We start from the raw sequence: 15,062 nt of genomic DNA, 5'->3' as shown, positions 1-15,062 counted from the left end.
TTTTTTTTAAAAAGTTCTATTTACAATGTATAGCTCATTACACCTCATGGTGTCTTTTTAAATGATGATTTACAGAGAATCTTCTTAGGTTACTATATCAAGAAGAACTGAAAAAAATCCACTTCGCTGTATCTTACTGGGCATTAATCTTACCATTCTTGTTCTTTCTTTGCATTGATGGCCAAGAAGCTTGGAGTCAAACAGGAAACCCATTTAGTAGCTGTCTAGGGCAGTAGGATATGCATTCCTGTGTGCTGGCCATCTAGGCTTTATTATTTTCTCAAATTTACTTTTTCCTTGCTTTGATTCACCTGTTACTTACCTTTTAAAAATCACATATGCTTTTAAAAGTCACCTCACTTCCTTTGTAGAGAAAGGCAGGCTATGAATAAATACTTAAAGCACTTATAAGTACAATGACTATGTTTGTATAGTGTCCAGGCTAGTATTCTTATCGTTCTAAAAGGGAAATTTCCACATTTAAAAAAAAATAAAGCCTACTATGTCAATATTGTAAAACTAAAAAACAAGCTCTTATCTCTTCTTCTTTTAGTCTTTTTATAAAGGTGGATACAATTCTTTATTTACAGTACTTGCTAGAATTTATTTCTTATGGGATATTTCCCCCTAGAATTATAGAATCTACTGAAATGATGAAAACAGGAAAATTAGTATACTCTCTGAGACTTTAAATTAATGTTTGCACTCTCTTATCATTCAAAAAGTATTAATTCCTGAAAGTTGACCTCCTGACATAATCAGCATTGATCTAGATTTTACCCGAAGACTGTGCTAAGGTTAACTTGGCACTGGGGATCCATTGGACTGGTGGCCAAGTTGTTGTCTGGTCCACATGTAAATCCCATGATCCCTGAGTTAGCTCCCTAGTGGTTGCAAAGAGTTTCTGCACTCATGCAGGGCATTTGTCCTTTGAGAAAGTGGCCATTTTAGCTTCAGGAAGCCTGCCCGGTGCCTAGTGCCTGGTGCCACATGAGTCTTGCTCAAACTGAGAAGCAGTTAACCTCTTATAAAACCAGCCACCCTCTTAGATTGCTTTCAAGTGTCTCATGGCAATACAAATGTACTTCACCATTGTCTTGGGGTCACTGGTTTGTTTAATCAGTCTCTTGAATATTGGGAAACTTTTGGTAACTTTGGAAAGCAGCCTAATTCCTTCCCCCTTAGGTTGGTTCTGCTTATCTAAGGTTAGACTCAAGAGGTCTAATAGGTTTCAATGACTCCACATATGAAGCAGTTGGCCGGCTGGCACGGTGCGAGAGAGAGAGGCTAGGGAACCAGGCAGTCTGCCCGGTTTGAACTGGGGTTCCACCATTTATTGGCCCTGTGATCTCTGGCATGTTCCTGAGCCTCTCAGCATCATCATTTCTGAAATGGAGATTTCACTCTGCTGGGTGCTGGACAGATGGTGGTGAAAAAAAAAACAGATCAAGTCTTGCCCACAGCACACACTTCCTAGGGGGTTATAAACCCACCTACTCCATAGAGTTATTGTATGTGATTAATACAGTTACCTTCTAGAGGACACTAATAACATTTGCAACATAGGGTCATTGTAAATATGCACTATAACTCTCTGTATACCAAGCATTTCATTAATGTTACCATTACCATCAGTATTATTTTAAAATATTGTTAACATCCTAAGATCGGGTCAGTTTTTAACATCTGGTTAAGTTGCTGAACATAGACTCTGGGAGAAGAATCCTACTTCAGAATATTTTAACAGAACTATCTGGGGTCACCAGTAGATGCCCTGCTGTTCTTTATTTAATGTATAACTTAAGCAGGATTTCTTCATCTCAGCACTGTTGATGTTTTGGGCTAAATAGTTCTTTGTTTTGGGGAACTTTCCTGTGTATCATAGGAGGTTTAGCAGCATCCCTGGCCTCTACCCACTAGATGCCAGCAGCACCCCCAGTTGTGACAACAAAATATGTCTTTAGATATTGCCGAACGTCCCCTGGTTCAGAGCCACTGAGCTAGAAGAATATTTTCGAAAACTTTCTGGTTCTGTCATTTAGAAAGTGCTAACTGGGATGAATTATTCCTTTGTTACAAAGGGCATCTATCTAAATATAGGGCAGTTATTTCTCTAGGGCCTGATGGAGCTAAAAGGAGCCTCCATCATTGTGTTCCCCAGAATAGCTAAGAAGGCCAGCACTCATTCTGAGGAGTAGGTAGTCACCAGGGAAGGAGGCTCCTGGATCAGGTAAAATAATCTACGCGTGTTTCAGCACCTTGCAGATGTTTTCTTTTTCCATCTCCCTCTTTCTGTTAGAGAATACCTCTAGGTTAGCAAAAAGACTTTTCAAACTTATAAAGCTGTGTGATCTGGCGGATTGAGAAGAGAAGATCTTTGTTCATTTGAGAAAATAGTTGTCCTTCAACAGGGGACTTGCCTGAATTGGGGCTCATCTGTCTCTGGGTGCTTGGACTAAGTCACAAAGCTATTTAGGAGGAATTGTTAAAGCACCACCAATGACTGGTTCTGTGCAACGATGATATTAAAATAATAAATAGGAGCAATATGTCGAGGGTTTTGATTTCTTGTTCCATTTCTCCTAATATTGTGGGAGCACACTCTGGCTCATTATTTTGTGTGTTTGGTTCTAGTATACCTGCTAGCTTTTTCTTTTCTTTTACTTTTTTATTTTTTTATTTTTAAATCTTGAGTCACATGAACCTCAAGCTCTGAAGTCTTTTTATTCATTCATTCCTCAAATATTTATGGAATGGCTACTGTGTCTGGCATGGAGTGCACAGAGATTTAAGAAGCAGTTTTGTCTTTCCTAACTGTGATTTCCAGACAGTAGTGACCGCTGTGTTTCGTTTGTTCGCTGCTATGTGTTTAGTGCCCAGCACTGTGCCTGGTGTGTAGGAGAATCTCAATACATAACTAGTTATGAGATTTTATGCTAACATTTAATGTTCTTTGCTTAAAGATTTCATAAGCTGATTACACATTTTTGGAACAATTGACAGGATGTCTTAAGAAAGTCTGTAGCAATTTGTTTAAAAGAACACATTCCAAGAAAATGTATTGTTGTAGGCCAGCTTTTCCCAAACAGAAAATCGCAAAGACTACCTGGTTAGAGCCTTCCCAAGCAGTTGTCACTGTGACCCTCTTCTCTCTACTACGCCTGGAATTCCCAAAGGAGAGGGGAGTGCTGAAGACAACAATGTCCCCTCTCTGGCTCTGATCAGGGGTTTATTGTCAGGAAATCCCCCTTTTCAGGGACTTCATTGTCTGTATCCTCTAACCAGCCCTCCCCCACCACCCCCATCCCCTGCCGACCAACGATTTCAAGGCTTTATGGAAATGAAAAGTTGCTCTTCTTCACAAAAAAGATTGGGGGAGATAAAGTGATTAACACTTATTTTGTTCAGGAATCCATCCGAGCTACCATCCTTGAACACTCATTTGGCTTGTTGGAAGGGTAATCTCTTTCAGAAACATTGGACAGAATTGACCAATTCATTATGTATGTAAGTCTGCTTAAGAATGTTTAATTCAGTGTGCCCTCATCTCCTGGCTTCGTAATCTCCTGCCTTGGCTATTCTGTTCTCTTTGAGTTTCTGCAACTCATTTCTCCCTGATTATTGAAGCTTTCGCTGGACATTCCAGGCAGGCTTGGTCGAATCTTGATGAATAGATTTATGAGGGAAAAAAATACCATCCTCTTTTATTTGGTTATTGATGACCAGATTGTTCTGGGGTAATTAAACTTGGGAAACTACAAATTTAGGCAGAAAAGTATGAGAATACTTAAGCCAATGGGAATGTCAGAGAATATTTCAAAGGCAGTGGGAAATTCTTATAAAAAGTAGCTACTTTGGGCAACATGGGCAGTTCCTGAACAGCCAATTCTGGAAGATCTAGATTAAAACAAACAAACCTTTAGTTCTTTGTGGGCATACTAATATTTGCACTATTTAAAAACGGTAACAAGTAATTTAATTATGGGCACCTTTCAATGCGATGTATTGCATATTTTTTTCCTAATCGTTTTCCTTTTGGGTTCATTAGGCAGGTTTCCATTAAAGTGCATTATCACTGCTGCTACCCATAACAAGGAAGAGAGGGAGTGGACAAAATATGGGAAAATGTTGGAATGGTGTGCGTGTGTGTGTGTGTACGCAGGCATGCACGCACTTGCATTTTGGCATGTGCACTCTCTAGAACTCAAATGGACTTCCCAATATTGGAGAGGAGTAGAGGTGTGAGATGAGCCCCTCTTTTTAGTTATTGCCTTTGTAGTTCATGCCCCCACTGTCTTTGATAGCAAAGATACTTTGGGTTGCAGTGATAAATCCTTGACATTGCTCTGGATTTGAAATTAGCGTTTGCCCTCTGAGTATAGATGGTAATGTTACTGACTGCAGGATGCATGCTCTTAGCAAGTGTTCAAGTACCCAAAGTAACATTTGATTATCTTCTTTTGTATGTCCTTTATTGTCTTAGTAATTTAGGTAGGCACTCCGGACTCCACATAAGGTTTTCTTCCATTCCCTTTCCAGTAGGAGAGCTTCAGGAAAAAAGGACAGAGGAAAAGATAGAGAACCCCCCTCCCCAAACTTAATTAAATGGATCTTTAGTATACTCAAAGAAGATACATGAATAGCCCTCCACCCACAAAATATCATCAGCCTTTGCATTCGTCAGAAAGGTTCTCAAGTCATTTTATTTACTGTACCTGATTAGATTGCAGTGTGATCAGCACACACAAAGCACGGGATTGTCAGGACCTGCAAATTTATTTTTTAAAAAGCAACAAAACAATATTCTCTTTTTTCCCTCAAATATCTTGCCTTTCAGGTTTTTGAAATCAGAATAGAACAAAGTAGGATTTTTTTTTTTTTAATTTAATAATGATCACTCTAGCTCAAGAGACTTTCTGGGGAGGTTACCATCACAGAAGAAGAACACTGGGGTGGGTGAGCCAGGGAGGGAAAACAGCATCATGCATAAGTGTGGAGTTGTGAAAAGGCAGAAAATAGGGGTTCTCAGAAAGGAGACCCAGAGAGGATGGTCGAGGCCAGATTTTGAAAGGTCTTGCCTGTCGTGCTGAAGTTTAGGCTTTATCTTCTAGGCACTTTTAAGCTCAATGTGCTTCAAGGGCCATGCTGCGATTTCTTTTTGGATGGTGGCTGAAACTGGGGTGAGGGATGGACTGGGAAGAGGAAGAGAGGGAGGAGTGGCCGTGTTCTTGTAACAAGAGTGAGTCCCTTTCAGCCCTCTGTGGGAAGGGGAGGGCACTGAAGAGTTCATTTGCTTTATGTCTTGTTCAGTGAATGCTGAAATCTTTTCAATGCTCATTAAGAGACTTTGTAATTGAGTACACGTACCCGTGGTGATTGGAAATCATTTGCATTTACTGCTCCATACATGTAAATCATAGTAATTTTAGGAAGAAAGAATTGCAAACATCTAAAAAATTCATTTGAATTCATTTCTCAAATTCCATTTTTAATATATCATTTTCTTTCAGGCAGTCTAAAGTCTTATCAGAATTATTTTTTAAAACTCAAATAGACCACTTTTAGGCCCTATTGGATTCAGTGAGTTATTAAATTTGACATCTTCCAGGGTTTATTTTTTCTGATGCCATAGTTCAAGATAATGTTTTTAATACTACATGCAGAATTGTAGAGATTCATAATAGCTTATGGCATCTTAATGTCCACAGTGACATTCCACTGGTCATATCCAACTGTGATAAACAGCTCTATACTCCATAAAAGACGACAGTCACTAAGTAAATGCAGAAAGATGCAAACAGCCCCTCAATCTCATGAATAATGTTACAGATCCTGAATGTTAATTTTGAAGAAAACACATGCTTAAATTTAAAGTTTATGTCTTCAATTCACAGTTCTTTTATTCTTCCAGGGAAAAAAAATATCAAGCAGCTATGCTTTAAATGAATCTAATGAACTGCAAAGACTGACATTTTCACTATAAAAGTCACAATTCATTTAATGAGTAGTTAAATATTGATGCTATATTCAAATACAGGCAGAATAAAAATGGCACAATGGATTTCAAAATAGGAATTCAGGGTTCTTTTATGGTGAAAATTTCATGAACTGAAAAAAAAAGTCTCGTTCATCAGGATGTCTTCATAAACACAAATATTCCAGTGAAATAGAGTATTAGTTTGCAGTATATAAATCCCCATAAATAAACTGAGGTAAGTCTTCCCTTTTGCTGTTTGGTTCCCTGTCAGTCTTTATTCCCACAGGACTCATTGATGTTAAACGTGGTTCCTGTCTTCAATGAGAGGGGATGCTGAAATTATAGAAGGTGGGGAATCTAGTTTCCTTGGACTGACCTCCTTGAATAACAAGTCAAAACAACTAGATGTCGATGGCTATTTGAGAAAAATAAGTAAGCTAGGTCCCTGTGACTCCTCTGCTTGGAGCTCTCCAATGGCTCCCTGATTCATTCAGAGGAAAGCCTGGTCTTAACTCAGTGGTGGACATTATTTCCTTGACCTCATCAAGGCCTGTCTGACTTCCCTCCCACCACATACCCCGCTCTTCTTGATCACTTGGAAACCCCTGGCACACGCCCACCTCAAGGCCCAGGTCCTGTTTTCCTCTGCCCCAAATACCGTTGCATCAGATATTTGCATGGCTCAATTGTTCATTCTCTTCAAGTCTTTCCTCAGATGTCCCTTTTCTCAGGGAGGACTTTGATGGGCACCTCATTGCTTTCCCTGATACTCTCCGTCCTCCTGCCTTGCTTCCGTTTTCTCCAGGCACTTACTACCATTCAACATTCCCTCTGCCTTATTTATTCATTGTCTCTCTCCTCCATGCTAGAACATAACCTGGCGAAGGCAGAGATTTCTGTCTCTTTTGTTCGTTGCTTCATCTCCAGTGTCCAGGACTGTGCCTGCTATAGAGGAGGCCTTCATCCATGAAGTGCTTGAATAGCACATGATAAACGTGAAGGAAAGTGTGTTTTGAGGCAAAAGTGGGATTCGCAAAAAACAAAAAACAAACAAACAAAAAAATGCTTCTCATGGTACTTGGAAACAGGGACCAGATAGGAGAGACACTTGGATTGTAGACTTGGGAACCATCTGCACAGATAGGGTGACCATTTTTTCCCAGGTTTCCTGGGACTCTCCCTGTTGTTGCATGAAAGACCAGTGTCTTGGGAACTCCCTTGCTTTCCCAGTGGGACAGCTGTCACCCTGTCCTGCACACAGAGGACACACTTAGAGGCCTTAGAGTTTGCAGAAGGACAGGGCTCACAAACCCCTGTGTCATAGGTGTGAGGAAGATGGTACATGACTGCAACTGAACTGCCCATTTGTGTGAGACTGCAAGAGACGAGACTTCTTCAAAGGAGGTGGTTGCTCCTCCACTCTGCCTGCCAGTAGCTCTAGGGAATCCTAGAGTAGTGTTGTCTGAGGTCCTGATTTTTCAAGGGGAACCAGAAATTTTGATTTCTGTGATATTTTAACATTTTTAAATGTTAGCACTATTTGGAAACTGTCTAAAGTCTGCATCTGGCCTGTGGCCTGACATTTGGCTGTCTCTGCTGAAGTTCCACACTTCCACTTTATTAGGAGACAAAGCCTATGAACCTCATTCTGAGCATCAAATGAAGCTTGTAGTTATTAATTGTCTTTATTATTTGGAGAAAATACTATTATTTAGCTGTAAGTAAAGGTTTTATGTAGCTTACATGGAATACTATTGATATTTGTGCAGTATTTTCAGGAACTATTCTAAGTACTCTATCTGTATTAATAAATTTAATCCTCCACGACTCTATAAGGTAAGTACTATTAATGTCCCAGTTAACAGAAACGGAAATGGAAGCATGGCTGAAATTAAATAACTTGTTCAAAGTCTCAGGTGAGGAGGTGATTGATCTGGGATTCCTTCAAATCAACAGGCAGGTTCCAGAGACTGTGCTCGTTACCCACAGGCTTTTCAAACTTCACTGAGCATGAGAGTCACCTGAACGCCTTGTTAGAATCCATGTTGCCGCTCCACACCCAGAGTTTCTGATTCAGTAGGTCTGGGGTAGGGCCCAAGAATTTGCATTTCTAACAAGTTGCTAGGTGATGCTGATGCTGCCTTCCTGGGATCACAGTTTGAGTTCTACTGCTCAGAACCATCCAAAGGCCTCTGAAGGGACCCAGGATCATCGGAGAGATCATACTTGCATCCACTGAAGCTGTGTACGCACAGTTGATCACTGCACTCATATTTAGGTACTCTAGTGGTAACAGTGTCATCGGCACAGATGGCCATGCACAAAGGCAAAACATATTTAAGGGGCATAAAGTAAAATGGGCTTTATGTAAAATGAAGCACTTCCTGGACCCCTGTGGTCTTATACCACTGAACTTTTTTTTTTTCCAGCTGAATACTACAACCCTTGTATGTTTCCAAATATCTGGCAGAGAAGGTAGAACTGGCCAGGGACATGAGCAAACATGGTGTGCTGGTTGGCATAGGATAGATGGAAGCTAGGCAGGTGGTACTGGGCTTCTACCATTGGTAGGCTGTAGCTTGATTTTTAGCTACAAGGATATGTTTTTAAACCATATTGAATTACATAGAAAGCATTTCCATTTTCCTTTCAGGCTTTCTTATTACATCAGTGAGAAAATCTCAGTTTGGTGCGAATATGTCTTTAACACCTAATACTTGCTAATCTCTTTTTTAGCAGAGAGATTGAGACACATTATAGGGGAAGAGAGAGAGAGGGAGAGACGGAGGAGATCATACAGGACCCAGTTACAACCCTTCTGTAGCTTTGGTTTGCTAGAATTAAATAGATTATTTTGTATTTATTGTATTTATTTTGATAGTTATGTGCTATTTATAGAAAGGAATACCAGTTTTCCATGTATGAAATAAAGTGTCCTTTTGTTAACAAAAAAGCATATTAATTTTTATGCAAATGCATGAATTAAAGAAAAATAAAGGCTCACAATACTATACCTTAGCCATAATTCCAAATTCTAAATGCTCTGAAAAACAAATTAAAAAAAATGTTTAGGGTTACACATTTGCATCAAAACTTGACCTGAATTCACATGAAACTTTTTTTTCCTGTATTTATCTTTATGTGAATATTCAGACATTTTGCTACAAAAATGTCCACATGTTTGACTATGGGGTGCTGCCTCAGACCACTAGAGGTATTATGTAATAAGGGAATATGCACCATATTACTTTCCTAATCTTGAAAACTTTCAACTGTAAAATACATCTGGCCCTAAGGTTTTGGATAAGGAAGAGTGTGGACCTGCTTTAAATGGCAAAATGCATGAAAGTGATATACAAATAACTGAAATTTGGCAGACACTGATCTAGGAAGAAGAGCTGACATTGAACATGAGTCTATTAACACGAGCAGAACAAACATAACACCTAATAGGGCTTCCCAGCTTTTGCTTGTTGTAAACAGCTGGCAGTGGTTACATCTATATTTGTTAAGAGGCAGAGCACTGTATTTTGTGTAAGATAAGGTGCTAGTCTTGGCCAGGCTGCCAAGCCTGGGCTTTTAAAATAAAAGTTTTAAAGAAAAATTATAGCATAATAAATTACACAATTTTATTGGAAAACTGAAGGTGTTCAACCAATGCTAGTTTTTAAATATATTTAGAAATACTATTTCAGGAAATTTTAACTACACTCATTAGTCTTATGGATCTGATTTTTATGTTTGGATTTTATATACCCATATTTCATAAAATTAGATATATGGGACATGTCATATCTGCATCCATACTTCAGTTTCCTTCAGCCATTGGGGCATTGTATTTGTAGCTCATCTACTACTATTTCTTCTCCTTCTTCTTCTTCTTTTTTTTTTTTTTTTGTTTTTGAGACAGAGTCTTGCTCTGTCACGCAGGCTGGAGTGCAGTGGTGTGACCAGTGCTCACTGTGCTCACCGCAGCCTTGACCTCCCAGGCTCAAGCAATCCTCCCACCTCAACCTCTTGAGTAGCTGGGACTGTGGATGCGTGCCACCCTGCTCATCTAATTTTTTAATTTTTTTTTTGTAGAGATAAGCTCTCAATACATTGCCCAAGTTGGTCTTGAACTCCCAGGCCCAAGAGCTCCTGCTGTGTTGGCCTCCCAAAGTGCTGGGATTACAGGTGTGAGCGACTGCGCCCAGCCCATTCTACTACTTCTTGCTTGGTAAGAAGTGATGTCTTCTCAGTGTGACAAATAGCTGATTGCCCAACCATGTTGTTTTTTTTTTCGTCTGCTCAGCTAGGATGCATTTCTCTCACTGAACCCCATCCAGCAGAGGACAGAAGAGTCAGAAGAGGGTAGAGAGGATTTAGATACTCATAGAAGATGTAGTGGAGGATGAAGTGCCAACCTCGCTCGGGAGCCAGGCGCATTGAGGAGAGACTTCATTACCTGATAACTACCTATCTGAAAGTAAGACCTAATCTTCTGGTGAGGTTTCTAATGGATCTGGACAGGCTAACCAGATAGTGTCTTTTATCAGTTTGTCTGATGAATGCACTAACCCTTACATTTCTAGTTTAAGAATAAGATGAAAGTGGTTGGGAATAATGAGGTGTAGATTCAAATATAACATGCATGAGTGAATGTCAGTTTCAGTGGCTTTAAACAATTTGTGGCCCCCGCAGTATTTGTAGATAACTGAAGACGGATTAGCCCATCCATCTGTCTGGTGCATTTAGCGCTAGAACAGGTTGGTTCTACATGCCTCGCATGATACCATTTCCCTTTGATCTTCCTGGCAATAGTTGTCTTGTGAGTCGTCCTTACTATGAGGAAGGATTTCCTGATACCTGACATTTTGCTACCTGTATCTTCTAACAGCCTCTAAATCCAGGCTCATTAATCATTGCCATTGGTGTTTACACTCAAGTGTAGATTTTGGTTGGAAAAAATTGAAATGATTTGCTCAACCACAGGATATTAATGATTATTGAAATACGATTCAAATCAGAAACATATCCAGCTACAGAAGAGAATGGGAAAGCAGTTCATTGATCATCAGGCTTGTAATCTGTGAAAACTATATCCAGCAAAGTGGTTGTTCTTTTTATTTATATTACTCAAATGAACATTAAACTCAACAATTCCAAATTACTATGAGGTATTCTTCATCTCTGTTCCATACAGTGTTGCATTTTATCAAGATAATGTAGATATTTAAGAAATACATTGCTGACAATTCTTGTAAATATTAGAATTCTGTATGAGAATATTGATATTAAAGCTGTACTAGGATGGATACCATTAGCAACAATATAGAGAAGACGTTTTATTAAATACTAATTTCATATGTTATTTAACAAGTAGCCGGCTTTGAACGCATTAATCTCTCTTTTTAATTCAAGGTTGATGGTCTGGGTCTTACATATTGTATCCCTGAATAGGCCATTCAATAACTATGCAAAATATCTATTTCTCCCATGGGTATTTGTGCTTTGATATATTCTGATCCTTATTAAATTTAAACAGGATCAAATTTATACAGCTCTGGCAGAGATTTATTAAAATACACTGAATGGGCAGCTTGTGGGAGTGCAGTGTACTGTAATAACATATGCCTTTTACCAGAGAATAGTAATTATTGAGAATCAAATAAATCTGTAGGAGGTTAAGTATATACGGAAAAGATATCAATTTCAGTTCTTCAAAACTGGCCTGAAATATTATTAGGAGATGTGTTACTGTGCAAAATAATGAATCTCATCTTTTTAGACTCTAAATATTTAGCAATATTTGAAAAATGCAGATCTTATGCGGGATGTTTCAAATTCCAAAAGGGGAGGGGGTGGTTCAACATTATCAGAAGTGTTACATGTATTTAGTATACTCCATCTGTAGAGGCACCTGTTTTTCACTTTGCCCTACTTTTTATTAGATAAAATTGAAAGCACTTATATTATCCTGTTGGTAAAATATACTTTGTTTTTAGAAGCAAAAATCTGTGTCTCTTTCGGTCAGAGGTTTGGGAGAGAGATCAGAGATGGACTAAATAGAAACGTTTTTGATACTTTTAAACTGGTTTATATTTTAAAAGTATTATTTTGTTCTTAATTTGGTGTTTTCCTCCATACTTTCAGAGTGACCTTGGTGTGTTTAATCTGATCAGATTGCAATAGTTCCAATGGATTGGTCTTCTGGGTGGGGCATCACTGCAGAGGGCAGCTAGGATTTTTAATACTCAATGTGTAGGTAAGATGCATGTAGTCTACCTATTCTTTCAGAGCTCTCATGACTCTGATATTTTATCCTTCATAAATTATTTAATTATGTTATAATCATCATTAGTGCTTTTCTCTTCTCCTACTTATAGACACCCTTGAGGGTGGGCTGGGGCACCACCAAGAAGAGAGCCATCTGTATGACAAGAGAATACTTTGCCCCAACAAACCATCCTGGCTTCCCAATACCTTCTTTTCCTTCCAGTATTTGAATCTCTTTCTCTGCCTAATCCTTTCTAGTATAGAGGCAGAGGCACAGGTGGAGGTGGCGCACCCTTCTTTCCTGGTCAAAGTTGTATGAATGTCAAGTGAAGGCTCTGGGAACCACGGGAATCTTTGAGTGGTGGTATCTAGAGGAAGTGAATTAGGAAGTGAATTAGGATACTCTCTGAAATTCCCCCAATTCTTAAATTCGATTGAATGTTGGTAAATGATAGTTATGGCAGGGGGCAGGAAATCTGTTTCTGCCATGTATTATGGTAGCTCCCCTAATTTTTGTACTCATTTCTTAACATATTGTGTATGTGTGTAGATTTTATAGGAGAATCACTGTTTATGCATACTTTATAGTGTTTTCTTGGGTCATGGTTAATATTTGAGTGTCCATGATGTTCTAGGTAAGTCTCTGTAGGAATTATTTTTAGGTGTCATGGTATAACAGAGTTTTGGTTTTTTTGGTCGGGGAGTCAGATATGTTACATACAATAAAATCTGCCAATTTTAAATGTGCTATTGGTAAGTTTTGACAAACATGTACAGTTGTGAACAACCACCACATAATAAATATAGAACATTTCCATCACCACAAGTTTCCTTGTACCCCTTTGCAGTTAATCCCCTACCCCCAGCCACTGATCTGCTCTTCTGTTCACATGATGTGTATGATATGCATATTCATTTATATCAACTAAGTTAAACCAATAAGTACATAAATGTTTAGATATATCATATTGATAAACCTTTATGGGTAGCATATATCTGATTTTTTTCAATCTTTCATTCCATTTTGCTCACATGAAGTCATTATCAGTAGAATAAGGAAATGTCAGAAATCTGGAGTTTGAGCAAAAAATGTATATTTTAGTGAAAAAGATTTTTAAATGCCTCCAATTATTGGCTACTTAGAAAGTAAGTATACTTGGCTCTGTTGCCAACTTTTCTCCTTCATTGCTGCTGATGAATGAGACAGATTTTTCTAAATGCATGTAACTGATGAATCCAGTTCCCTTTCTCTTGCAATTAAAAGTTTTCATTTATGTGTCTATCTGTATATTGGGAAATCTTTGTAATTTTTCTTTTATAGTGCTTGTTAGATCTATAGGACAATATAGACCTAGTTTCTGAAATTTGAAAATGGATAAAAAATATTAAATGCAATGATTTTTAAAATCTAATGTCTTAATGTTAATCTTTGATTGATTTTCTTAGGTATTAATATTCATTACCATTTGGATAACTGTGAAATTTGAAAGTGATTTTACAATACCAACACTTTGGACCAGATGAACTCCAATATTCCTTCAGTTCTGTAATATGTGATTGATTCTTTGAGGATTTTTTTAAAACAAGTATATGTGTGTGTATTTGATTTATATGTACAGATTCAGATACACACACACACACACACACAAGCACACATTTCAAATGGGAAAGAAAAGAGAAAAAAGTAATTGTGCTGTTTATATTTTCAAGTTAGCATTTCAGAAGATTGATTATAAAGATAAAATAATTTGTACACTTTTTGGATGTTGATTAATGCTAGTGCAAATAGTGGAGAAAATAGAAAGCTAATATAGTTTGCTATAGATATCCTTAAAAGGAAAAAGGAAGTAAAGAAACGAAAAGAAGGAATTTAGCTTATGCCATTCTTCTGTTTTACCTGCTTCTAATTTAGAGTAACATGATCACTGGCTTCATAAATTCAAAGCTCTTAAATCGTTTGCAGTAACAAGAGCATGTTCCAGTGTTCTCAGAACTTTTGTTTGCACCTGGTGTTACACTTGATCACTGAATAATTGAGTGATAATGACTGTTATTTTTAAACTAAAGCGTAACATCAGGAGAGGATGGTAAACACAAACCGCCCAGCTTCCCAAAGCTGGTAGGGAAAATATTTCTAAGTGTCAAAGCATGATAGAATTGTTGAAAGTACATGCAGCCAGCTATGTAACCTCAGAAAATAAGACATGGAATGATTTGTTCTGCAGCTTAAAAATTATACTTTTTAGTTTCATGGAGATGGAAAGTTCAAACAAAGAAAAACTAGTAGAATTTGAACACCATGAGCTAGGGTTAGGAAACCATACTATCTGGCCAAACAGTTATTCAGGACCAAGGACAAGGCCATAGGCATGCCTCTCCCCACTTAATTTTTTCTTTTTTCTTTCTTTTTCTTTTTCTTTTTTTTTTTTTAACATTCATAGCTATACTTTTAAGTTATTCATTTGCTTAATTTATTCACTCAGAAATTAAATTACATATTGAGTATCAAATAGGTAATGTGACAAAACAAGACAGACTCGAGCTCTGTTTTCATGGGACTTATATTCTCTTGGGTCCTTTTTTTTTTTTTTTTTTTTTTTTTTTGAGATGGAGTCTCGCTCTGTGGTCCAGGATGGAGTGCAGTGGCTGTCATCTTGGCTCACTGCAACCTCCACCTCCCGGGTTCATGCCATTCTCCTGCCTCAACCTCCCAAGTAGCTGGGACTACAGGTGCCTGCCACCATGCCCGGCTGATTTTTTATATTGGTGGTAGAGACGAGGTTTCACCATGTTAACCAGGATGGTCTTGATCTCCTGATCTCGTGAT

At 38.2% G+C, this 15,062-nt stretch overlaps 1 protein-coding gene across 4 annotated transcripts in view; it reads left to right on the top strand.

Annotated features, from left to right (window-relative positions):
• Window positions 1–15,062, top strand: part of TOX3 (TOX high mobility group box family member 3) — a 111,387-nt gene that overhangs the window by 17,952 nt on the left and 78,373 nt on the right. For 2 of the 4 annotated variants that reach the window (NM_001146188.2, XM_047433909.1), the window contains exon 2: window positions 10,272–10,445. The exons of the other annotated variants lie outside the window; for them this stretch is intronic. In NM_001146188.2, coding sequence (NP_001139660.1) covers window positions 10,371–10,445 — 75 coding nt within the window. In that variant the 5' untranslated portion in view covers window positions 10,272–10,370. The remainder of the gene's footprint in view (window positions 1–10,271; window positions 10,446–15,062) is intronic. 4 annotated transcript variants of the gene reach the window in all.

Source organism: Homo sapiens, chromosome 16 (genome assembly GCF_000001405.40).
Source record: "Homo sapiens chromosome 16, GRCh38.p14 Primary Assembly".
NCBI classification, from domain to species: domain Eukaryota; kingdom Metazoa; phylum Chordata; class Mammalia; order Primates; family Hominidae; genus Homo; species Homo sapiens.
Note: the sequence above shows the minus strand (reverse complement) of the source record. Positions and strands in the feature narration are given on the sequence as shown.